Consider the following 25,993-nt stretch of genomic DNA (forward strand, 5'->3'; position numbering starts at 1 on the left):
TCACCCAGTGCCTCCCTGTGCCTTGCTGGCTCTATCTGTGAAATGTCTCAAGAGTCCATCCTGTTGTCTCCCATCCCATGTCTCCCACTTGGCCCACAGTCCAGACTCTTACCTGTCCAGACTCCTACTCCAGAGAGAGCCGGCAAGATCTTTGGGAAAGGCACATTGAGCCATGTCCTTCTCCCCCTTGGAACTCAACAGTGGCTTCCTGTCACTCTGAGAACAGAATGCAGCCTCCTCCCTGTGCATGACAAGCACCTCCCTGAGGTCACAGCTGTGTCTCCCTGACTCTGCACTGGTCCAGTCCAGCCTCAAGGCCTTAAATTTGCCACTCCAGACCCCTGGTTTGGACCCTGGACTCTGAATACATTCTGGTCTTTTCCTCAGGGAGGTCGAGGCACTGTCCTAGCTTGTGACCTGCTCCCATACCTATTTTCTCAGGGTGGAAGCAGACGCTCCAACTCCCACACTGTGAGGCTGGTACCATTACCTCCAAGACCCAAAGCCTGTAGGAAGTATAGCAGGCCTCACCCAATACCCTGCAGTTCCCTCACTTGCTCCAAGTGGGAGGTGGGTCTTCACGGGTCCCCAAGATGAGGGTCAGTGGCTTTCCTCTTTCACAGGCTACAGTGGGAGCGAGTCTTCCACCATGGGACCTCTGGCCAGATCTCAGGGCTCTGTGGTTGGGGGAAAATGGCTCTCTTTCATGGGGCTTTAAGACATGAACTGACATGACATGTCCTAGAGACTATCCAGAGAGCATGTGGATCACTTTTTGCTGCTTTAGATCACCTTCTTTAAAATCAATGCATTGACATACTTTCAGCACTTAAATTTTCGTATTCTATTATCGCATCATCTCAGAAGAAAAGTCTTTCATAATTAATGAATCTCAGGTTGGGTTAAATATTCAGTGGCTGCCCACACACCACTTACTCTATTGCTTCAAAATAATTGGCTTTCACTTATCAGGTCTACTAGAATGACTGTCTTAAACCAGTCACGTGGTGGAAGCGTCACCATGTTTCTTGCTCAGAAAATACCCTTTCAAGGGCTTTTCTAGGGGAGCCGGAACAGTAGCCAATTCTAGTGGGACCTTTAAGAAACAACTTTGCCCAGGATGATATTTGAGCCCCCTAAAGGGCCAATAGGGGTCCCTCTATTCAACTTTCCCTCCGAGTCCCACCAACCTCCCCACTTTGGTTCCATACAGCTTGGATTATTGCCCTACTAGTTCAAAACTGAAAGTTTCAAATAAAAACCAAAAGACAAATGTTAAGTCACATTGAATTGATAACTGAGACAATCTGTCAAGCATATTTTGCTTTCCTGATTTTTCAAAAAAACCCTAATGTTGCACCTTCCTTGTTGTCAGTTTAGTACGTTAACATTTTTTTAATTAAACTTCAGTATCATTGAACAGGTCATAGAGTGTGAGCAATATTGTCTTTGTTCCAAAACTCCAAATGTAATGAAGCTGCCATTCACAATTGTTTTCCGCTGGGCTGCTTATTTTAAAAAAATGATTTTGATGAATAAAAATAGGTGCATTTTCACAGCGTGGGGTCCAGCAAGAATGAAAACCTTACGGATCACAGCCCGGCCCCTGGGGGTGCGGGAGGAGGTGTTGTCAGATGTCAATTTTGGCTGATTGTTTTTGAGGTCATGAGACTGCCATTCCTGTGTCCTGTGGTGCATTTTAGAGACTGATGTCACTTTTTTGAGATAAATTATTAGAGAAATGTTTATAGATGAATATACATTTCACAGTGTGCCAGAGTTGAGGAGTCTAATGAAGTTTAGAAGGGACACTGGGATGAGGGTGCTGAGCTGCGGTGCCTGTGGCCTGTGACAGACACCTCCTGCACCAGGAGGCAAGGATCCTGATGGTCAGATGCTCAGTCCCCAACAAGAGGGGGTTCAAAGCCAGTGCAGCCCCTTCCTCCCACCGCTGGGGGCAGCAAAGGACCCACAGTGGAGATTGCAAACTATAGCAGGGGCTGTGCTTTGTGTTTGTTTTCAATATTTGAGCCATCATACAAAAATCTAGTGATTTCTCATTCTCTATACAAAAACCAGAAGATCTGGGCCACAAGGTCTGCATTTTCCCCAGTATCAGTCTGCTATGGCCCCATATTAGCTGCCTAGGGCCCCTCACTCCTGCTCCTGCTAGACCCTGTGGATATTTGAGTCATGACCTTGCCTCAAGGCTTATTCATGTATTATTTGTTTATTTATTGTTAACATAGGAAGGGTCTTGCTCTGTTGCCCAGGCTGGAGTGCAGTGGCACAATCATAACTCACTGCAGCCTTGAACTCCTGGGCTCAAGTGATGCTCCTGTTAAGGCATATTTAGATGGGAGGAAACATCTTTCTTCCTTTAGAGCATCTAATTATTGGCATGGCCCTGGACAAATTATCCTAGAGCCTGGAGCCTCAATTTGCTCATCTCTGTAAGGGGGGTGACAATGCAACCTCATAGGGTGGTTGTGAGTACTACATAGAAAAAGACTCCAGAAGGAGCACAGGGCCTCCATTGGGAGCCCCTCAGCCAACACTCCCTCCTTGCTGCCTGCACAGCCTCAAGAGAACATGGAGTCCTTTGGGATGCTGAAAACTGTAAGGAAGACAACTGTGCATTCTCTGTGTAAGCAGTGTGCACACTGTCTTCCTCCTAAATGGCTAGTTGGAGGAGTGAAGACAGACTCACTCAGAAATGGGTGATTCCCTGGCTGCAGTCTCCTCTCTGATAACAAAGGACTGGGCCCAGATTAGAGACGAGGCAGGAATTATGTGCTGCAGAAAGGCGGTGGGGACATCTTGAGTTTGTTTGTAGCTAATCTCAAATAATTCAGGTCTTTTCCATTTGCAGCAAATCTGATTCCCTCAACACATCTGTGGTAAAATGTTATGAGTGCATGCGGAGACCAAGTGTGGAGGGGATTTTTTTTTCCACCACCAAATCCATAGTTACCCTCCAAGTTGTAATCTTATCATATTTAACTGGTTCCACATAAACAGATCTATGTATATTTTCAGTAGTTTCAGCTGAAACCTGTTAAGAACAGATGTGCCAATGGTTCCCTGGCACTGATCCATTTAAATATATTTTTTCCACGAACAGGTTTTTCTCTCTCCCTTTCCTTAGAGGGGAGAAAAAATATGAAAGTGGAACCACCATTAAAGTGGATATTACATGCTTCTGTGTTCTCTGCAACCAGTGTTTGCCATTGGTTTTCCAACAGCAATTTGGCACATGAGGCTATGAACACAGAGTGTGCATTTGATGGACAGTATTTGCTCTGAGACTGTGTGGCTGGGAGAATGGGCTGAGAGCTCTGTAGTTGCTACCTAAGCTAGGGTCAGCCAGGGTTAGTTTTTCCCTGCTGCTGCTGCTAAGCAGCCCCTGGGCAAAGGCTTCAGCAGGCCGTCTGCCTCTTTGAGCCTTTAGTTTTTCAGTTGCAAACAAAAAAAAAAAGGTCCAGGGAGTGGGAAGATAAAGAACTCCTATAACTCAGCAACAACAACCTGATTAGAAAATGGGCAAAGGACTTAGATAGATATTTCTACAAAGATGATATATATTAATAAATGGCCAAAAAGCATGTGAAAAGATGACTGGCATCACTAATGATTAGAGAAAAGCAAATAAAAACTAAAATGAGACATCACCCCCACACCATTAGAATGGCTAATAGCAATAAAACGGAAAATATCAAGTGTTGGCAAGGTTGTGGGGAAATTGGAACCCTTCTGCACTTTTGGTGGGAATATGAAATGCTACAGCCACTGTGGAAAACAGGATGGCAGTTCTTCAAAAAATCACAAATAGAACAACCATATGACCCAGAAGTTCCACTTCTAGGTGTGTATTAAAAAAAATTGAAAGCAAGATCTCAAATAAATATTTGCACATCCTTATTCCAATATAGCAGCATTGTTTGCCATATCCAAAAGGTAGAAACAACCCGAGTGTTTACAGATGGATGAATAAACAAAATGTGGTCTATACATACAGTGGAATATTATTCAGCCTTAAAAGGAAAAGAAACAGTGCTATATGCTACAGTATGGAAGAACCTGGAAGGCTTTATGCTAAGCGACTGAAGCCAGACAAAAAAGGACAAATACACTATAGTTCCACTTATATGAGGTACCTAGAGTAGTCCACTGCATAGAGATGGAAAGCAGAATGGTGCGCTAGGCACGGTGGCTCACGCCTATAATCCTAGCCCTTTGGGAGGCCGAGGCAGGCAGATCACTTGAGGTCAAGAGTTCGAGACCAGCCTGGCCAACATAGTGAAACCCCTCTCTACTAAAAATACAAAAATTAGCCAGGTGTGGTGGTGTGCACCTATAATCCCAGCTACTCGGGAGGCTGAGGTATAAGAATCGGTTGAACCCAGGAGGCAGAAGTGGTGGTGAGCTGAGATCGCACCACTGCACTCCAGCCTGGGTGATAGAGACTCTGTCTCAAAAAAGAATGGTGGCTTCCAGGACTGGGGAATGGAGAGTTGTTTAATGCCTAAGAATTTCAGTTTTGGGGGATGAAATGAGTTTTGGAGATTGGTCACATAACAATGTGAATGTACATAACACTACTGAACTGTACACTTAAAATGGTTAAGATTGTTGAAAAGAAGAAAATAGGGGAGAGGGTCTAATTTGTGACACCAACCTCATCGATGGGGGAAGGATTCAAAAGAGAGGTGCACATTCAGCCAGACACTGAGCCTGTTGCCCGTGGGGATTATGCCTAAGAGGAATGAGATAGGAGGGGTTATGTTTTCTCAGCTTTGAATTTCTTTCTCAAGAACACTCCTCTGTCCACCTTCCCATTGCCCACACGACAGAGTTCACCAGGCCTCCTAGCTCTCTACCAGCCTATAGCCATCTGCAGGAATGTCCTCACTGGGCCCTTTGGGCCATGCCCTGTGTCTGTGACTCTGGGGCCTAGCACTCTGACCCACTGGCCTGTGTTCCTCTCTGGTTGGAAGACAGTGCAAAAGGGACCTATTCCACCTTCAGTGGCCTCCGAGTAACCCACCTGCTCCAGTCTGCAGATTTCCATCTCACTGACTTTGCCCTGGCACTGGGAGGGGGGACGTGAGGGCTGCAGGTAGGAGTTTGATGGCAGATGAGCCTCAGGGGTTCAATGTCAGCTGGGAGAAGCAAGGCCACTTCCAGACTCAGTTCTGCCACTGTCTGGCAGTGAGGCTCTGGGCAAACCATTTTGTTTTGTCTCTGGTAAAAGAAGGCTGTGGGCAGGATTGGGCTTTGTAATTGCCAAAGATTCCAGATCTTTGAGGGGCTCTGTCTTCCTAAATTCTGTGCAGCCTGCTAGCCTCTGCAGGACAGTATCAGGGAAACTTAACATGCCTGTGTTTCGTAGTGAACAGGATATCTAGGGTTGAGAATTACTGCGAACACTGTTATGTTGTCACGTGAGCTGGGGCTCCATGGTGATGCACCCTGGGCTCCCAGAACAATGTGAAGCACTGAGATGCCCTGCACCTGGGCCTGGGTCAGAATCCTGGTAGAGGGGTCTTTGGCAAGGACAGGAGAGGACCTCCTTGGGATTGGACTCAGCTGAGCAGCAGGATGCCTGGTTGGCTTGGGAGGTGAGATTAGCTTCCTGGGGGCAAAAAGGAGCCATATTTGTCTTAATGAGGAGAAAAGAGCAAAATCAAAGCATTCAAAGAGGATAAAAGAACACTTCAAAGAGGATAAAAGAACATGTTCAGTTCACAATTACTGCCTCCCTAACCAGGCAAGTGTATGATGGAGAATCCTGTTATCCTAATTCAAGAGGACAATGCCAAAGGCTTCTCTTGCTGGCTGAGAATTGTTGGGGAGCTCCCTGCCCACGGAGGGCCTGTTTGCCAGATCCCCAGCCCCCTGCAGACCTCTGATCTGTGAGGAGCTGGTTCTAGTGATTCACACTTGCTTGTGAAAACCTTGATCTTCATCAAGCTTTTAAAAAAATCTCATCCGTATTTTTTCCCAATTATTTTCCTGCCTGCTCTTTTTTTTTTCAAAAGTAAACACTCAAAAGCCTTCATTTCTATAACTAATTCTGGAGTTTACAGAAGCAAAAATCAATAGGCTCAAAACTCCATTCCTTTATTCACTTGGCTCAGACTGGCTTGGGGCAGCACCTCTGAGCCCAAGCCAGAAATTGCCAAAAGGGGGTTCCTGTCGGAATCTTGGAGCTCATCCCCCAAACTTGAGATTACTGAGCAAGTGAGCAAGATGTCTCTGTCTGGTCCAGGAAGATGTCAGCCCCACACTGCCCCTCCCAGATAAAGAGATCAACACGGGACAGGTCAGTCTCTCCCATTCTGTCTCCACCTTTGCCAGTCTGCTTCTAGATCCCCTTCATGTACTCATGTTGCTGCCCTCCATTCACTAGATTTTCAGGATCTATTTATATCCATCCACCACATCCACCACTCTGTTTTCCAAATATTATCACAATCAGCGCAGTAGTGCTTCCCCCCGAAAGACTGGCAGCTCTCTGACCTTTCTTTTCAGCTACAAATGAAAGGGGACTTAAAAGCTGTGTGTGCATGTGTGTGCACACGCCTGACTAATGGACACACTCCTCATGAAAAACAGGATAAATTACAGAGAATGGCAAAGTAATGATTACAGAAAGGTATATGAGGCAGAACCCATTAGTGAGCTGCATTTTGTTCAAAACCGAGATACTGGCAGGCAGAATAACATGCCTTTGTACCAGAACGCATTCAGCTGTAGCAATGACTAATAAAGTAGCGAGGATCTGTGCACATTTTCCCCCTTTTGTGCCTATTTTCATAAGTTAATAACTCAAGCATGAAAATTGTTTTAAGGCTGAAGACTGGTGGTAAGATCTGGTCAAACTGTGTGGGAAACAACTTTTGTTGTTGTTGTTACTTAATTTAGTTTGGCTGTTTTTAAGTTAGAGGAGTGGAAATGTCAATGTCAATGTGAGTCTTGCAATGTGTTTTTGTTAAGCCCAAGAGCATTTGGGATTGCATCATACAAAGCACATTTTTAATGACTAGAGATCATAGTTTCTCTTCCTACAGGTGTATGTTCCTATTTGGTACAGGTTGGGATTGTTGGGGAGGGAGGAGGAGATGGAAGCAAAATCTTATAAATGACATCATCCTGGGCTTACCCTTCTTCAGCTAGAAAATTCCTATTCCACCAGCAAATCAGCCTGGTGAGCAAACAGCTGCCTTAGACAAATGGGGTTGAGTGTAGGGGTGAAACCTGCTGCAGGATTTTAGTAAATTCTCAGAGCAATGGAAGGAACAGAAATATCATGAATAATTGTCATACCTCTCATTCCTACAGGACTCAGGTTTTGTGAGCATTTTCCTGTCCATAGAACCAGAGAAAGTCTAAGTTAAGGGTACCAGATTTTGCATAACTCCTCTTTCTTCTTGCCTTTTATTTTCTTTTTATTGGATGAGAAGACTTTGAAAGACACAGAAAAACACAGAGAATAACATAAATACCTGTGTAGCCACATTCTAGGAGTAACAACTGTAATATTTTATAATGCTTACTGCAATTTATTTTTTAAAAATAAAATAACTGAAGCATTACTGATAAAGATGTATCATCTCCTTTATCTCACAGACAAGCAAAGTGGATCAGCAAAGGCTGCAGTCACCAGCATCTTTTCCAACCTTAATGAACTGTATCCTCAAAAGAACACTATCAGACTGGTAAGACAAGCATTATTGTCCCACTTCACAGATGAAGAGCTTGGGGGCCCTGTGGATGTGTAGGAGAGTCGGCCTTCCTTTTTATAGGCCTTTTGCTGAGCTCAGAGGACAGAGCAGAAGACAAAGCCGAAAGCAGCCCTAAGCAGACACTATCCCAGCCCAAGGAGCTATGCAGACAGCTCCTGCCTAGAGGAGAAACAATTCTCTCCTTCAGCCAGGCATGTGGCACAGAGGTGAACAGGAAATGCTTAGGGAGACAGTTCACAGATATATATGTACTTCACAGGGCACAATTTAATCCATAAATCAATCATGGATCACTGCTAAAGAAAACAAAATATGCTGCCACTAATTTGCCACCACCCTGTGAGCATGATTGGATGATGTTTATTTTGATTAGGAGATTGCTCCATTTATAAATCTTCAATACATCCTGTCCCCCTAAAACGGCATCTGGATCTTTTGAGGGTTAAAAAAAAAAAAAGTGAAATTGGATGAGGGATGAGAGCTGGACTTCTGTGTGTCCCGGGGTCTCTGGATCCACAGCCTGGTGCCTAGCATCAGTTAAGCCCACGCTGGGGTCGCATCACATCCCGCAAAGCCACGTGCTCTGTGAGGCCAACAGGAGCCCCGCCGGGTGGACCAGCTGGAATCTCAGAGAGCGCCGACTCTGAAAATACCCGGCTCTGCAGAAGCACGCTGGGCCCAGGGGGCTTCTAGACTGACAGCTCCATTTATCAACTACCTATTGGTTTTAAAAATTGGAGTGTCTTTTCCGCGTTGACTGATTTTGGCTCTAAGAGATGTCGCTGGTCATTTCAGAGTGACTGAACCTCCCCTCTAACAGATCCCGGGAATTGTTTTCAGGAAAGGTAAAAGGCAGCCTTTTCTGTCACAACACAACGCTGAGCCGGCAGCCTGGCTCTGTCAGGATCTGGGGCTCCAGCGCCCGAGAAGCCCAGCCTCGCCGGCGGCCAAGTTCACCGCGAGGCCACGCGCTGCCTGCGCTGCGCTCCCGGACCCGCACCGACCGCAGCGCGCGCCGCCGGTGCTTCTCCCACCCCAGCCTGGAAGCTGCCTCCCTCCGCCTATCCCTGCAGGATAAGAAGCCCGAGGAGGCGGAGCATGGAACTCGACAGTTAAAACATTTAAGAGAGAAAACCTAGTGTCTTGCTGGCCTGAAATCGAGTACGCAGCCCGGGGTGATCAGGGTCTCCCGGCCCGGATGTGTGAGACTTGCTTCCCCTGGGCAATAGGCGATACGATGCTTTAGGAGGAAGGTATCTCTCCCTCCTAAGCCCCGGAGGGGAGAACTTCCAAAGACAGAAAACCACAGGGTTCCTGGCACAGAGCTTTCCCTTTATCAGCTAAAGCAGAATCTTTTCTGGCCTTAACCTGGCCCCTTCCTCTAACTGTAGGCAGAGAGGCAGACAGAAAAGCACTTGCTGAAACACAAAGTTTTGTTCTGTCCTCAACGAACTGTCTAGAGTTGATTGCTGATAGTCGTGGTGCATTATGCCTTCCTGGTTTTCATTTAATTGGGCACCACGCTGCCTTTCAAGACGCCTTAAAGGAACCAACAACCAAATCCAAGAGAGCTGGACAGACCATTGAACACACAGTAGGCTGTGTCTCGTGGCTTTCGTTGTCTGGTGCCTCAAAGAAAACACCAGAAAGATTGTTTCTAAGCTAGAGCCACCCCAGATTGCTTAAAGTGCAAAGCTCACTGCTGTTGGGGGTACCCTTGTGAGACACTGGAAAGCTGGTTTTACCGTGGCCCTATGAAGAGGAAGACTGAAATTTAGACAGTAATACCTTTACTAGGATTGGAAAAGATTTGGTTAATGACAGCCCTGTTATTTCTAAAACCCATTATCACTGTATGAGAGATTCCTTTGCGCTGCATCCTCGACAGTGCTTCCTAAGGTCCGTCTTTTCTATTGTATTCATTTTAATGGGTGCATAGCCGTATCTCGTTGTGATTTTAATGTGCATCTCCCTAGTGACTAATAATGATGGGACGCTTTTCATATACTTGTTTGTCATTCATAACTCTTCCTTGGTGAAATGTCTGTTTAGATATTTTGTCCATTTTTTTTATTTGGATTGTTTGATTTCTTATTATTGAGTTTTGGGAGTTCTTTATGTATTGTGGATACAAGTTCCTTATTAGGTGTATGATTTGCAAATATTTTCTTCAAGCCTGTAGCTTGTTCTTTCATTTTCTTAACAATGTCTTTTGTTTTTAATTTCAAAGAAATCCAATTTGTCAATATTTTCTTTTACAGATTATGCTTTTGATGTAAGAAATCTTTGCCTAACCTAAGTCACAACAATATTCTCCTAGAAGCTGTAGAAATTTCAATCTGTAATGATCAATTTTGAACTCGTTTTTATATTTATTTATTTATTTATTCTTTGAGATGGAGTCTCACTCTGTCGCCCAGGCTGGAGTGCAATGGCACTATCTTGGCTCACTGCAACTTCCACTTCCCAGGTTCAAGCGATTCTCCTGTCTCAGCTTCCTGAGTAGCTGGGATTACAGGTGTGTGCCATCACGCCCGGCTAATTTTTTGTATTTTAGTAGAGACAGAGTTCCACCATGTTGCCCAGGCTGGTTTCGAATTCCTGAGCTCAGGCCATCCACCCGCCTCGGCCTCCCAAGGTGCTAGGATTGCAGGCGTGAGCCACCATGCCCGACCCAGAACTTATTTTTAAATATGGTGTGAGGCATGGAGCAAAGTTTACTTTTTTACATGTGTTTACCCAATTGTTCCCTCAACATTTGTTGAAAAGACATTTCTCCACTGCATTGTTTTATGTCTTTGTCGAAAATCAGTGTATTTTTGGACTCTTGATTCTAACGTTCCATTGATGTTTGTCTTGATTTATTTTTTTGGCCTTGAAACAACAATTTATTTTCATCTCTCATGATATTGGAGGTTGGCCAGGTTCAGCTGGGCAATTCTTACTTGGGTTCTCTCATGCATTTGCAGTTGGATGATGGCTGGAGCAGCAATCTGGAGGCTCAAGGAGGCTGAAGGCCACATATGACTCCTTCATTTCCATATCTAGCACCTCAGTGGAGTAGGCTGGAACAGCTGGGGAATGATTGAGCTTCTAATTCTCTCCCTACCTCCTATCTATGTGTCTAGTTTTCACTTCTTCACAGTACGGCATTCTCAGGAAAGTCAGACTTCTTAGTAGTGGCTTACCCTAGAATGACTTTTCCAAAAGCACATGTTTCAAGAGACCCAGGCAGAAGCTGCAAAGTTTCCTGTGACCTAGCTTACACATCCTATAGTTTCTTTTGCCATATTCTGTAAGGAAAGCAAGTTGCTATGGCCAGACCAGGTTGAAGGAGAAGGGTATGAGACTCTACCTCTCGATTTCAGGAGCATTATTACGGAGAGGGAAGGATTGTTGGTTGCTTCTGTATAAGCAATGCCAATAATAGAAGGCTCCACTGTCCTGATTAATGTAGCTTTATAACAAGTCTCAAAATCAAGCAATGTTAGTCCTTCAACTTTGTTCTTCCTTTACAAAGTTGTTTTGACTGTGCTAGGTCCCTTCCATTTACATTCGAATTTTAGAATCAGTTTGTCAATTTCTACCAAAAAGAAAGCCCTTATGAAATTTTGATCAAGATTGCATTGAATTTATGGATCAATTTAATGAGAACTTACAATTCAAATTATTTTAAGATCAATTTGGTGAAAATTTACACCTTAAAAATATTGAGTCTTTTGACCTATGAACCTACTTAGGTTTTCTTTAATTTATTTTAGCAATTACATTATAATTCTCAATGTATAGATCTTTCTATCTTTTATCACATTTGCCCTATTTTATACGTTTTGACCCATTATAAATGGTATTTTTAAAATTTCAATTTCCGGTTGTTCTTTGCAAGTATATAGAAACATAATTGATTTCTGTACATTAGCCTTATATTCTATATTTTTGCTAAAGTCACATTTTTAGTTCTAGTAGTCTTTTTTTCATAGGATTTTCTGCATACACACTCATGTCATCTACAAATAAAGATGGCTTTTCTTCTTTATTTCCAATCTCAATCTCTTTTGTTTCCATTTCTTGCTGTTGCACTGGATAGCACCTTCAGTACAATGTTGAATTTGTGAGAGTTTCTGATCTTAAGAGGAAAACACTCAGTCTTTCACCATTAAGAATGATGTTACCTATAGGCTTTTCATAGATGTTCCCTTAGCAGGTTGAAGAAGTTTCCATCTATTCTTAGTTTGCTAGACTTTTTATCAGGAACGTTTGCTGAGTTTTATCAAATTTTTTTCTGCATCTATTGAGACATGCAATCTTCTAGTGCCATCATTTTACAAGCTCAAGTGAAGTGTAGGGCACTTACCTTTCTTTACGTCCTACTATCCTCTCTGTTTATAATATAATTGCTTAAATATTTTCTCTGCATATATTTAGGATCACATTAGATAGTTATAATTTTTACTTCAACTGTCAACATAATTTAGAAAAGTCCAGTGAAGAAGGAAAGTCTATTATACATACCAATATTTTTGCTTACTATTATGTTAATATGTTCTTTCTTCCTTACTGATGCTCCAATATTCCTTCCTTTACTGTTTGCTTTTTGTTTAGAAAACTTTTTTTTAGCTGTTCATTTATAGTATGTCTGCTGGTGACAGATACTTTTAGTTTTCCCTCTCCTGAGAATGCCTTTATTTCCATTTTATTCCTGAAGGACCTGTGATTGGGGTGGGGCTGTGGTATTTTAAGTGGTGTTTGGCTAGAGTGGAGCGGTTATTGCCCAAAGCTTTTCTGTCTTGCTGGGCTGCCACTGTCCAGCTCCTTAGGCTGGAGAGAGCAGGCTTTTGTTGGGGCCTTCTTGGTCTCATTTGGAATTTCTGAGTTCAGTTTCTTCAACTATATATCTGGGATATACAAGACAGAAAGAAACCAGGGCACTCTCCACCATGTTGTTCCTCCAGTCTCAAGATCTCTAGACAGTCTGTCTTCTCTCCATCTTTCAGAGTCTTCTTGTGCATGTTTTTTATATAACATCTACACTTTTTAGTGGCGCTTAGCAGAAGCAATGGGACAAGTATGTCTACTGCAGCTTTCTGGAAGAGAAGCTCCTCATTTCTTTTTTTGGATACATTTCAAAAGAAGTTGCAAATATATGACCCTACACATTTCAGTATGCATATCATTAACTACAGCTCAACATTAGTTTATATTTTTCTTTTTCTTGTGTGAGATGAAAACTATACATACATTGCCATCAGGCTTTGCCCAGGCATCAGAACTCACTAGACAGCAGAATATACATCTTTGAGAGGAACCACAGAAATGTAATGTGCATGCTAAGGCTTTTACCTGAACATCAAAATGGAAACATCAGAGTATTCATATTAGAGAGCAACCTTACAATTATAATGGATGTGGTAAGGCTTTTTAAAAAATCAATGTTCAAAGACATAGAATCAACCAAAATGGCCATCAGTGATAGACTGGATAAAGAAAACGTGGTACATATACACCATGGGATACTATGCAGCCGTAGAAAGGAACGAGATCATGTCCGTTGCAGGGACATGGATGGAGCTGGAAGCCATTATCCTCAGAAAACTAACCCAGGAACAGAAAAGCAAACACCACATGTTCTCACTCATAAGTGGGAGCTGAACACTGAGAACACATGGAACCAGGGAGAGGAACAACACACACTGAGGCCTGCCACTGCAGGTGGGGGTTCAGGGGAGGGAGAGCATCAGGAAAATAGCTAATGCATGTCAGGCTTAATAAGTAGGTGATTGGCTGATAGGTGCAGCAAACTGCCATGGCACACGTTTACCTATGTAACAAACCTACAAATACTACACATGTACCCCAGAACTAAAAGTAAAATAAAAGAAAACAAATTTCAAAAAATAAAAAGAAAATTCTAGGTACATTGAAATATGCAATTCTTACGTGCACCATTTGATGAGTACCACCCACCCCTCTGTCAAGATACAGAACTCATCCATCACCCCACAAGTTCCTTCTTCCTCCTTCACAGTCTAATCCCTTCCCCAGCCACCTCGCGGGGACAAACATTGTTTTGTTTTGTTTTTTTACACCTCCTAGATTAGTTTCATCTTTTCTAGAATGCAGTATGAATAGAAGGGATATCATGCACTCTTTTCTGTCTGGCTTCTTTGTTTCAGCCTAATGTTTTTCATATTTAGCAAGTTTTATAAGTCATTTGTTTCTGTTGCTGAGTAGTATTCCGTTGTGTGCATATACCACAGCTTGTTGATCCATTCTTCTATTGATGGATATCTGAGCTGTTTCCAGGTTTTGGCTAGTATGAATAAAGCCAAAGAGAGCCATTTTAATTTGGGGCATTTAAAAAATGGTGTGAATAAACTTTCATCTGAACACAGGGTTCCGTGGTAATAATGTTTGAAAATATCACCTCCAGCTCTGACGTGCCGAGTTTGTAATTTTCGTAAATGATATAAAAAGTCATTTCTTCATCCATTCATTTGTTCACTCAACCCTTATTTAGTGGGCCTATTCCCTGTGCCAGGAATCATTCAAGGCTCAGTGGGGAAGAGAACAAATGTAAGTAAGTCGGCCTGGTGCAGTTGACATGCTAGTGAGGGAAAAGACAAAAACATCAGTTAGTGAATACCTGTTATGACGGAAAAGAAGCCAGGTAAGTGGGTAGGGCATTACAGTTGGTCCAGAGGTAGTCAGGGTGTCATTTTAGCTCTGGAAGTAGGGAGAGGAACTTAGGGAGATGGTCAGGGGAGGGACTTATATGATTTGGATCTGTGTCCCCACTCAAATCTCACACCAAATTATAATCCCCAATGCTGGAGGTGGGGCCTGGTGGGAGGTGATTGGATCATGGGGGCAGTTTCTTATGCTTTAACAACATCCCCCTTGGTGTTGTCACAGTGACAGTAAGTTATCACAAGATCTGGTTGTTTAAAAGTGTGTAGCATGTCCCTCTGTCTCTCTTCCTCCTGCTCTGGTCATGTGAAGATGCCTGCTCTGGCTTTGCATTCTGCCATGAGAAAAAGTTTCCTGAGGACTCCCCAGCCATGCTTCCTGTACAGCCTGTAAAACTGTGAGCCAATTAAACCTATTTTCTTTATAAATTACCCAGTCTCAGGCATTTCCTTATAGCAATGTGAGAATAAACTAATACAGAAAATTGGTACCAAGAGTGGGGTATTACCATAATGATACTGAAAATGTGGAAGCAGCTTTAGAACTGGGTAATGGGCAGAGGTTGGAGGAGTTTGGAGGACTCAGAAGAAGAAGGGAAGATGAAGGAAAATTTGGAACTTTCTAGAGACTTGTTAAATTGTTATGACCAAAATGCTGGTAGTGATATGAAGAGTAAAGTCTAGGCTGATGAAGTCTCAGATGGAAATGAGGGACTTATTGGAAACTGGAGCAAGGTCACTTTTGTTATGCATTAGCAAGAGGTTGGCTGCATTGTGCCCCTGCTTTAGGGATCTGTGGAACTTTGAACTTGAGAGTCATGATTTAGGGTATCTGGCAGAAGAAATTTCTAAGCAGCAAAGCATTCAAGATGTAGCCTGGCTGTTTCTAATAACCTATGCTTATTTGCATGAACAAAGAAATGATCTGAAATTGGAACTTACATTTAAAAGGGAAGCAGAGCATAGAAGTTTGGAAACTTGCAGCCTGGCCATGTGGTAGAAAAGAAAAACCCATTTTCAGGGGGAGGAATTCATGCAGGTTGCAGAAATTTACATAACTAAAAAGAAGGCAAGTACTAATAGCCAAGACAATGGGAAAAAGGCCCTGAAGTCATTTCAGAGAGCTTCATGGCAGCCCGTCCCATCATAGGCCCAGAGGCCCAGGAGGGAAGAATAGTTTCAGGGGCCAGAACCAGGGTCTCTACTCCCCTGCACAGCTTTGGGACACTGTTTCCTGCATCCCAGCTGCTACAGCTCCAGCTGTGGCCAAGAGAGCCCAAGGTACAGCTCTGGATGCTGTTCCAGTGGGTGCAAGCCATAAGCCTTGATGACTTTCATGAGGTGTTAAGCCTGTGGGTGCACATAGTTTAAAAGTTGAGGCTTAGAAGCCTCCACCTAGATTTCAGAGAATGTATGGAAAAACCTGGATGTCCAGGCAGAAGCATGCTACAGGGTTGGAGCCCTCATGGAGATCCTCTACTAGAGCAGTGCAGAGGGGAAATGTAGGGTTGGACCCCCCACACAGAGTCTTCTTTAGGGCACTACGTAGTAGTGCTGTGAGAAGAGGGCCACCATTCTCCAGACCCCAGAATGGTAGAGCCACAAGCAGCTTGCACCCTGTGCCTGGAAGAGCCATAGGCACTCAATGCCAGTCCATGAGAGCAGCTGTGGGGGTTGAACCTTGCAAAGTCACAGTGGCCAAGCTGCCCATGGCTTTGGGAGCCCACCCCTTGCACCAGCATATTCTGGATGTGGGACATGGAGCCAAAGGATAATATTTTGGAGCTTTAAGGTTTAATGACTACCCTGCTGGGTTTTGGACTTGCATGGGGCCTGTAGCCTCTTTCTTTTGGCTGATTTCTCCCTTTTGGAAAGGGTATATTTACCCAATGCTTATACCGCCATTGTATCTTGGAAGTAACTAACTTCTTTTTTATTTTACAGGCTCATAGGTAGAAAGGACTTGCTTTGTCTCAGATGAGACTTTGGACTTTAAACTTTTGAGTTAATGCTGAAATGAGTTAAAAGACTTTGAGGGACTGTTGGGAAGGCATGATTGTATTTTGCAATGTGAGAAGGACATGAGATTTGGGGAGGAGCCAGGGTCAGAATGATATGGTTTGGATATGTGTCCCCACCCAAATCTTATGTTGAACTGTAATCCCTAGTGTTGGAGGTGGGACCTGGTGGGAGGTGATTGGATCATGGGGGTGGTTTCTTATGGCTTAACACCAGCCCCCTTGGTATTGCCATAGTAAGAGTAAGTTATCACAAGATCTGGTTGTTTAAAAGTGTGTAGCACCTTCCCCCTCTCTCTCTTCCTCCTGCTCTGGCTATGTGAAGATACCTGCTCTGGCTTTGTCTTCTGTCATGAGTAAGTTTCCTGAGGCCTCCCTAGCCATGCTTCTTGTATAGCCTGTAGAACTGTGAGCCAATTAAATCTCTTTTCTTTACAAATTACTCAGTCTCAGGCATTTCTTTACAGCAATGTGAGAGTGGACTAATACAGGGACCTTTTAAGAGGAAGTCATAGGAGAGTTTTTGGAGAAGGTAAGGTTGGAAGAAGGTACAAAGAAAAAAGCTTATGTCTTTAAATCATCTTCATTCCTGATAATTCAGCACACTTTAGAGGCAACTTCCAAGTCAGCTGTTGATGGTAGTGAAGACCCAAGGCCCAGAGAGGGAGCAACTGGCCCTAGAGTTGCATGATGAGTCTTCAGTGGCAAGGCCGAGATTAGAGGTCTGTACTCAGCATTCAGCTATTGGTGGACAGAACTCGTCCTTTGCTTCCTAAGTGCGGCTTCAGTCCTGTCATGGCCCTGCACTTCCCCGATTCCCTGCCCACTCCGTCCCCACTTCTTCAGGTGCTTCCCCATGGGAACTGGTAGAATAGTGTTAGAAAGCCACATCCATAGTATGGCCTCTTGAGGATTTCTGGTTTGTGTGACTTTGAGCAAGTCCTCCCCTGATGTTGGAGGATTCTTACCCCTGAAGTTGGGGAAGGAGTGAAATCTTGATGGTAGGACATCCGCTCACATGTCCTTTGAGACTTACCACGTTTGTCACCATGTATTTAGCACAGCTGCCTTTCATCTGCGAATACAGCCTGGGAGCTCTTTATGTTTTATCTAATTTAATTCTTATAACAATCCCATGGAGTTGTTAGGTAGTAAAGTGCTCTCTCTGTTTTTACAGATGGAAATCTGGAGACTGAGTGAGGTTGAGTAATTTGCCCGAGGTTGGCAAGAGGCTAAAGTAGAATTCTAAACCAGATCTGTTTGATTCTGATGCTCTTGCTTTTAGCCACAATGTTTTAGCATCTGTTCAATTCTGAACAGACGGACAGAATTTGCAGAGGTCAGAGGGAGGTTCTAGAATAAAGCTGTTCTCTAGTTTACAGGACAGAAATGGTGGTAGTGATATGCCTGTGCCAGTTCTGGGATGTGCAGCTGGGAGGGAAGCCTTCTGTGGACCACCATGTAGGAGGGAGAGCATAGCAGGGTATGATGGGAGGAGCATGGGTTCTGGAATTGAAAAATCCTGTGTTCAAATCCACACTCTACCACAAATCCCACGAATGGAGGACATTTGGACAAATTGTTGAAGCCCTCTAAGCTTCCATTTTCATGTCTGTAAAACGGGATAATAATGGTATCTCCCTAGAGGGTTGCTGGGTAGGTACAATGAGATGATGCAAATAAAGTACTTAGACAATACCAGGCTCACAGTAAATGCCTAATAAATGCTGGCTGTTGTTTTTATTCGCTATTGTTTTGAAAAATGGCAGGCACTACAGACATACAAAGTGCAGAGAGTGGAAAGACAACAATGTGTTTTAGGGCCAGGCAGCCCAGAGCTGCCCAGGCTGGCACCCTGCCCAGAAGTGGGAGTGATCTAGCAGAGGCCAGGGCCTTGCAGGAGGATTTTTGCAGACACCCAACTTCCTGCATCAGTGGGGTCGAGTGATCTCTGGAGTGCCTTCCGACCTGGAGAGGTCATTTCAAGTCTCTGCAACGGTAGCGATGGTAGCTCCAGCAAGGGAGGGAGAAGGGGCTTCCACTGGCTCTTGGACACTCCAGCTGTCATTTTTGGGAATGTGCTTATCTGCCCCAGAGGGAAATAGATGATTGAGAAAGGAGGCAACCAGGGGACTTAGGCTTTACCAGCAGTGACCTACTAGCTCCGGTGTGTCTGCCTCAGACAGCAGGCCAAGGCTAGTGTCACGGCAGTTTAGGGGGTCCTGCACATTCACTGTGCCAACGAGCGGTATTTTGCAAACTTATTATAAACAGATTATATTTCTTATCCTAATGTGGCTGTTGGCTACCTGCCCATGAATTTTAGCCTCCAGGAGAAAAACAATTGCTTGAGCTGAGTGTTCTGTGCTTTTACTTTCCATACATTACTCAGGGCTCCTTCCAGTTCCCCCAACCCTTAATCTCTCTCTTTCTCTCTCTCTCTCGCTTTCATTCTCTCTCTCTCTCCATCTTTTTCCTTCTTTTCAGAAAGTCCTCTTTCATCTTGGGCATAACTAGAAAATCTGTAAGCTGTGCTTTCTGCCATGCATTAGCCAACAGGGTCCTTTCCTCCCAAGCCAGGGAAGAAAGCACAAAAACCAATGTCCAGGCTGGGCCTCTCAGGGTCCACAGCATCACAGGCAAAGGAAGTAACTGTCTCCATGCCTACCAACGGATCCACACACATCTCGCTGGGCAGCATCTCTGCCCCAGGAAGCAGCGCGCTTACTACACTGGGCACCCAGATGTCTGGTCTTGCGTGGCAGGCAGCCACTTTCTCCTGGCCTTTTCTTGTCCCAAAAGTCAGAGGGGCAGGCCAGTTCCAGAATGGGATTCCAGGCAGACCAGGAGACTAGGAGTGCATGTGAACAACTGCAAGGGGATGCGTCTGTCTGCCTGGTGTCCGTGTGTTCATGTGCACACCTGTGCACGCGCTCCCCCAGACTTACACACTCGTGAACACATGCTCACACAAGTTCATGCACGGGAGTAGCTCCAAGCCTCTCACTCAGCACTTTGCTATTAATAGCTCACTTTTCTAAAAAAGTCTGCTTAGCCGTTTGTAAGAATAACCACCACTGCCTGTGTGACAGCCCAGGCCCCCGCAGGGAGGACAGGGCCGGCCCTCTGCTAGGACTGCCTGACTGCCTGCCTCATGTTAGAATCCAGAGGGAGGGCCAAGAGGGGAGATGAAAACCCCTCCTGAGTGGCCAGGGCAGCCTCCAGTGCCTGTGCCCAGGGACAAGGCAACTCACTGGTAATGTCTGCGGGCAATTGGCCAGGCCCCTGAGAGCCAAGATGCCACCTTCTTCATGGTGACAGCAGGGAGCATGCTCCATGAAACCAGAATGAGCCTGTTCTCCACTCTGGGGTCCTGCTGTAAAAGCCAAGAAGCAGAGAGCCAAGCTGAGCCCACCAAGAGCTTGGCACGAGGCTGTCACCCACAACTTCTCGCTGATCCAAAAGACAGGCTCTGAGGCTGGAAATTCAAGTGTGGTGGTGCTGTGACACAGCACACAGCCACCGTGCACTTGTGTCCCTGGCAGCCGCAATCCGGGCCTGAGAGGGCCCAGTGTCTGTGGGTGTTTGTATTTAATTGCAGTGGGGTGAGAAAGGCCAATGGTTGGGTTTTATTTCAAACCTGCTTTGAGGAGAAGTAACATTAGGTGGCCCAGAGCTGTGAAATGTGTCCTGGTCATAAATGCCTCACCATCAATTAACACCTCCAGAATACCTAAGAGTTGCCAGCAACTTCCCATTCAAATAACCTCTTAAACCTTCCTCCACACCACACTGCCCATTCCCTCGCAGGCAGACCTGCATGGTTTGATGACGACTGGTCACACTGCTGGCCCTATCTGTATAAAAGTCCAGACAGTTGGGCTGTGAGGGGAAATGCCTACCTCAGAGTAGCTTAAGAAAGAAAGATATTGGTTTACTTCTGAAAAGCTCAAGACCAGCTGAGTTTAATGGCATCATTAAACTCATTAGACATGGGGCTGGGAAGTGGCTGCCAGCAGTTTGGTGCACAGCCTGTCCTCTCAGCAGCCCAGGTGGCAGGTGTCTTGGGAGTGGCAATGATGAGACCAGCTGCTCATCCTGGGCTGGTCATTGTGACTCAGATGTGGAGTGGGCTGGTTAGTGGTTCTGGGCCACTTGTCCATCTCTGGATCTGGCAGCTCCATCTACACAGTGTCGGGCTAGGCATGGGAGCATTCTGGGCCAGGAGAAAGGGGATTGGATCCTGGATGGTGGGAACCGCAGGTGTCCCCCTCCACGTGCCTGGGTCCAAGACTGCTCTGCTCTGGACCTTCTACGCCTTCAGAGGTACAAGTTGCAGTGCTACCCTTGCTGAACCTACAACCCTGTTCAAGTGACAACTTCTCTGAGTCTCATACGAGGATATTGAAAGAACCTTCTGCACAGGGCTGTTGTGAGGATTAACCGTAATAATACAAGAATATCTGGCACTTGCATTCAGCAACTCACCGCTTACTTGTTCAACCAGGTAAAAAGGTTCTGATCCCAGTGTTGCAGGACAGAAAGACCTCCCCCTCTGTAGCTGCAGATGTGACCCAGCACAGAAAAAATGGCAGGTGAAAGACAGGCAGGAAGAGCAACTAAGAAGGTGGGAGGCACCTCCATAAGATGCCTGAGGCCATGGGGATGACCGTTCACAGAGCTAGTCCCTCGAGCAATGTGTTAAATCTACTGAACTGTGATAAAGCAACTTCTGGGTGAATTTTGTCCTGCTACAAGTTGTCATGGAATGGCAAGGTGGCAGATCTCAGAAGTGGATCCAATGGTTTTTTTTTAGTTAAAGCAGAACATTCCTGGGGATGGTGTCAAACTCCCTTCCATACTGTTGAGTCTGCTGATGATTACACTGGCTTCTCCTCTTTGCCCCATCATTTCACAGGTTCCCATCTTAAAGAGGAAGAGAAAGGAAGGAGGGAACGAAGGAAGGGAGGGAGGGAGGGAGGGAGGAAGGAAGGAAGGAAGGAAGGAAGGAAGGAAGGATGGAAGGAAGGAAGGAAGGAAAGGGAGAGAGGGAGGGAAGAAGAGAGGGAAGGAAGTTATCAAACCCAAGCTCTGTGCAGAGCAGGAGACGTTTCCATGGGACCCCTAGAATAGATAGGTTCTTGCTGCTCTCCTGGTGGATGGAGATGCCCACCAGTAGCTGTGAGAGTCTCCCCGAAGGCCTGATTGTGGCTCCAAGTTCCGTAGGACTCACTAGTCTTTTTTTCCCTAGAGGGTCTTGCCATTGAGAGGCAGGTGATGTGCTGTTTCAGAAAACAAAATTGGGACATGTCCTGATATGACATCCATCAAATATATACAGATAGGTGTCACAGCCCCCGAAAAAGCTTATCTCTTCTAGGCCACACATAGCTATTTCCTCCAACTGTGTCAGACATTACAAAGTTTCTAGCAATCAAAACAAGTCAAATGCCATTCTCAGGACCCGTTGGAGGATTTTTTGCTTTGTTTTGGCTTTGTACGGTATCCATACCATTTTCCAAATTCTTTTGTCCTTACATATTTTGTTTTTCTTAAAAAAAAAAAAATCACCTATAATCCCATCACCAGACAAAACCACTAGAAAGAAACCAACATTTTAGCCATGTTTTTCTGTATATAAAAAAAGTGTGTGTGGAATTTTTCATAACAATATTGGGACCATGACATCTATCACATTTTTTATTAGGAAATGGCCTTCAACAATATGCATTTAACAATATGCTTGATGTCTGTGTAATATTTCATCTAACAAATATATCATGATTTATTTAAGTATTCCCTGATTGCTTGCTTCTAACTAGAAAAAACAATTTTTCTAAGTGTCACCACTGGGTTAGAGTAATCTCAGCCAATCCTCCTAATAGCACTGTGAGACCAGAGTTATGATAATCTTCAGTTAATGGACAAGGGACATGATGGTGTGGAAGGATAAATAAACTACCCAAAGACAACTAGCTAGTGAGACCAGCATGGACAGTCAAGCCCAGTGCATGTAATCTGTGCTCCCCTGCACTGTTGCTCATATACTTGGACCCTTGCATACATGATTTTCTTATTCATCTTGAAAGAGAAATGTTAGCTTACTGTTTTTATTTGCATTTATTTCGTTGCTTTTGAGTTTGAGCATCTTTCCATTTCTTATAGACCATTTGCATTTGTTTTCCTACAAAATGCCTGTTCATGGCTTTTGCCCATTTTTCTGTTAGCCTTGTCCTATGTATACACACATGTATATTATTAGTTCACTATCTGTCAGGTAAATTCCCCAGTTTTCTTCTTGCCTTTTAATGTTGTTATGGTCATTTAGGACTAGAAAGTTTTAAATCTTGTATGCCTATCAGTATTTTACTGTGTGACTATTCCCATTATTTTTATGCTTAGAAAGTTTTCATTCCTATCAAGTATAGATAAATGTTCAGTTCTACTATTTTATTTTAACTGTGCAGTGGGTTCATTTTTGGCATTGAATTAATTAATCTATCTGGATGTTATCATTAGTTTCCTTCTGAAAAAGTCAGTCCAGGCTGGGTGTGGTGACTCACACCTGTAATCCCAGCACTTTGGAAGGCCTGAGTCCAGGAGTTCAAGAACCAGCCTGAGCAACATGGCAAAACTGTGTCTCTATCAAAAATACAAAAATTAGCTGGGAGTGGTGGCACATGCCTGTGTTCTTAGCTACTCAGGAGGATAAAGTGGGAGGATTGCTGGGGCCTAGGAAGTTGAGGCTGCAGTGAGCCATGATTGCACCCCTGCACTCCAGCCTCGGTGACAGAGCAAGACCCTGTCTCAAAAAAAAAAAAAAATGCAGTCCAGATGTACTGGAACAAGCTTGTGTGGGATGGCTACACTCCTTTCCTGTTCCAACACACCTGTTACCTGGATGAGCTCCTATATCCTTATCCAGGTACCAGATCTGCCACACCTGGTACCGGCATGAGCCCTGTGGGGAACATACCAGCAGAGACATTATACTTCCACCGAGACAAAATAAAGCCACATTGACTTTTAGTACTCATATTATTGACTGACATTAAACCCATGGCAACTAAAATCTCGTTGTTGTTTTTTTTTTATTCTGGGGGTGAGGGTACAACTTTTAGAGAAAGTATCTCTCCCTAAGACTGCCAATCACTCTAAATTTGCATCTAACACTTCTACATAACTTTATCTACCGAGTAGGCAGTATTTACCGTCTGCTGTTTCATCTTGTAGCATAATTTTCTTTTATATTTCCAGGTGTGAAAATATTCAAACTGACCCCTAATTCTCAGCTTTCAGAGCTATCTGCTACTTCCCAGGTCACTTTGGTTTTTAAGCGCTTTCACATGCTGTTGTTGGACATCTGGGTTATTCCCAAATCTTGTTTTCACGTAGGCAGCTGTCAAGTCAAGATAGCCATGGCCCTGCCTGACATGTTCTTTAAGATTGCATTTTATTTTTATTATTTTATTTTATTTTTCTTGGAGACAAGAGTTTCACTCTGTTGCCCAGGCTGGAGTACAGTGGCATGATCTTGGCTTACTGCAACAGATCTTGACTTACTGTAACCTCCGAGTCCCAAGTTCAAATGATTCTCCTGCCTCAGCCTCCTGAGTAGCTGGGATTACAGGCACCAGCCACTATGCCTGGCTAATTTTTGTATTTTTAGTAGAGATGGGGTTTCACCATGTTGGCCAGGCTGGTCTTGAACTGCTGACCTCAGGGGATCCACCCAGCTTGGCCTCCCAAAGTGCTGGGATTACAGATGTAAGCCACTGTGCCAGGCTGCATTTTTAATACTGTGTTTTTCTTGACATATATTCCAACTAAATTCTTCTGGGTGTTGTTGGTTTGACCTCATATTCGGTCCTATTGAAATGAATTTGAATCATTCATGATTTGGTTATTTATTGCATTCATTGTCCTTCTCAGCTTCTGGTTACCCACACATTAGACACAAGTGCCTTTGGCATCTTTTTTCAAATCTACAGATGAGGAAACTGAATCCCAGAATGGTGGAGTGATTTGACGAATATTGCAAAACTATAATGGGGAGATGAGATGGGGATCCAAGTCTTGTGCCCCCAAAGACAGGGCACCAGGCAGCGTAGAGGTGGCCAGTACCAGAGCAACAGCCTAACAATGGTATGTATGTCACACACCCAGCTCACTCAATCCTGACCACAACCCCCCACTGCTCTGATTCCTGCCCCATCAGTAGCGTCTGAAAGGACATCTCCAAGTTCACCTTCAAGGACACTGTTAAGGCTGGGCCAGTAGAAGGAATATGACCCCTGGCACTGTCCCCCTTCATAAGACTTCAAAGTTCATCATTTCATTTGGGCATCATTTTACAATTTGCTAGGAATCCCTCTTATCTTATTTTCATCTGGTCCATATTCCTCCGTTTCAAAAACAAGACTATCCTGAAAAACTGTCAGCTGCTTGCTGAGGTTATTTTTGGTATACAGTACTTACCAGAGTCACCTGGTCAGCATTAATCACCCCATCATGAAAGATTTATGGTTGTTTGGGGGGTACTGAACCCATGTTGTACCCTATGTTTTTTCTGAAATATTTTCAATCTAGATGGTCAGTAGTTCTAGAATATTCCCTCAGGGATTGCCATCGACAATTGACCATTTTTATAAATGTTAGAAATGGACCGTTTGCCCAGGAGAGGGCTTCCCTGTGTTGAGTTTCTGTGTTGCTGCCAGGTCATCGAAGAGTTTTCATTGTTAAACTTGTGTAGGGCATCCAAGCACCACCTTGCTGTCTTCTCACCAGGCCAGGGGTCCACCTTTTGGAAGAGCATCTTTCTAACTAGAAGAGAGAGACGTGAAGTTGAAATTACTTGGCTCTGCCTCCTTTTTTTTTTTTTTCTCAAGTTTCTACATTTTAGCATCTTTCCTGTGTAATCCCTTTCTTGTCCCACTCTTCAAATAGCTTTGAAAACCCTTCTGAGATCACGGGCCTATTTTCAGCCTCTGCTTGGTGTGGGCTTTTGGTTTCCCAGTGTGGTTCTCACAGGTTCAGGCCCCCCCAACCCCGGTATTGACTCCATGTCAACTTCTCATCTTCTGGGTATGCCTTTCTGAAAGTCTGAGATCACCAGTGGTACCCTGTGTGGCCCACACTGGATTTTTCTAACTATTTCCTCTTTTTGGTCCTCACTGGGCTTATTCAGGATTATTGACGATACATATGCAGAATTTGGGGTTTTCTCCTAATCTCTTTTCTCACTTGGGATCTGTGTGTGTTCAGACTCCCTAGCCCCAGCCCTCCAGGTTAATATTGTGTGGCACTAGGACATTAGCCTCAGTTTCTTCAATTTGATATAATTGTGTATGATAACAGAATTTACCTCCTGGAGTTGTTATGAGGATTGAAGGAAATAGTGCTTAGTTGTGGTTAGTATTAATATTATTATCTACCTATTACTGACACACTTTGTGGTTATAAGTGACAGAAAACTACCTCAAACTGGCTTAAACACGAAAAGAGAATCTGTTGCTCAGAGAAGTTTCCCCTAGGAATTACC

General features: G+C 44.3%; 1 long non-coding RNA gene across 1 annotated transcript in view, besides 1 other annotated feature; it reads left to right on the forward strand.

The window, feature by feature from the left end:
* NCAL1 (NK cell activity associated lncRNA 1) overlaps positions 1-25,993 on the forward strand; it is a 282,375-nt gene that overhangs the window by 120,147 nt on the left and 136,235 nt on the right. The window lies entirely within an intron of this gene.
* Positions 7,843-8,504: an enhancer, noted in NCBI's record as "H3K4me1 hESC enhancer chr2:87882987-87883648 (GRCh37/hg19 assembly coordinates)". NCBI's record gives its function as "activates a minimal SCP1, AML or CMV promoter by ChIP-STARR-seq in naive H9 embryonic stem cells {active_cell/tissue: H9 hESC(naive)}" and the evidence as "EXISTENCE:reporter gene assay evidence [ECO:0000049][PMID:30033119]".

This window comes from Homo sapiens, chromosome 2 (genome assembly GCF_000001405.40).
Source record: "Homo sapiens chromosome 2, GRCh38.p14 Primary Assembly".
NCBI classification, from domain to species: domain Eukaryota; kingdom Metazoa; phylum Chordata; class Mammalia; order Primates; family Hominidae; genus Homo; species Homo sapiens.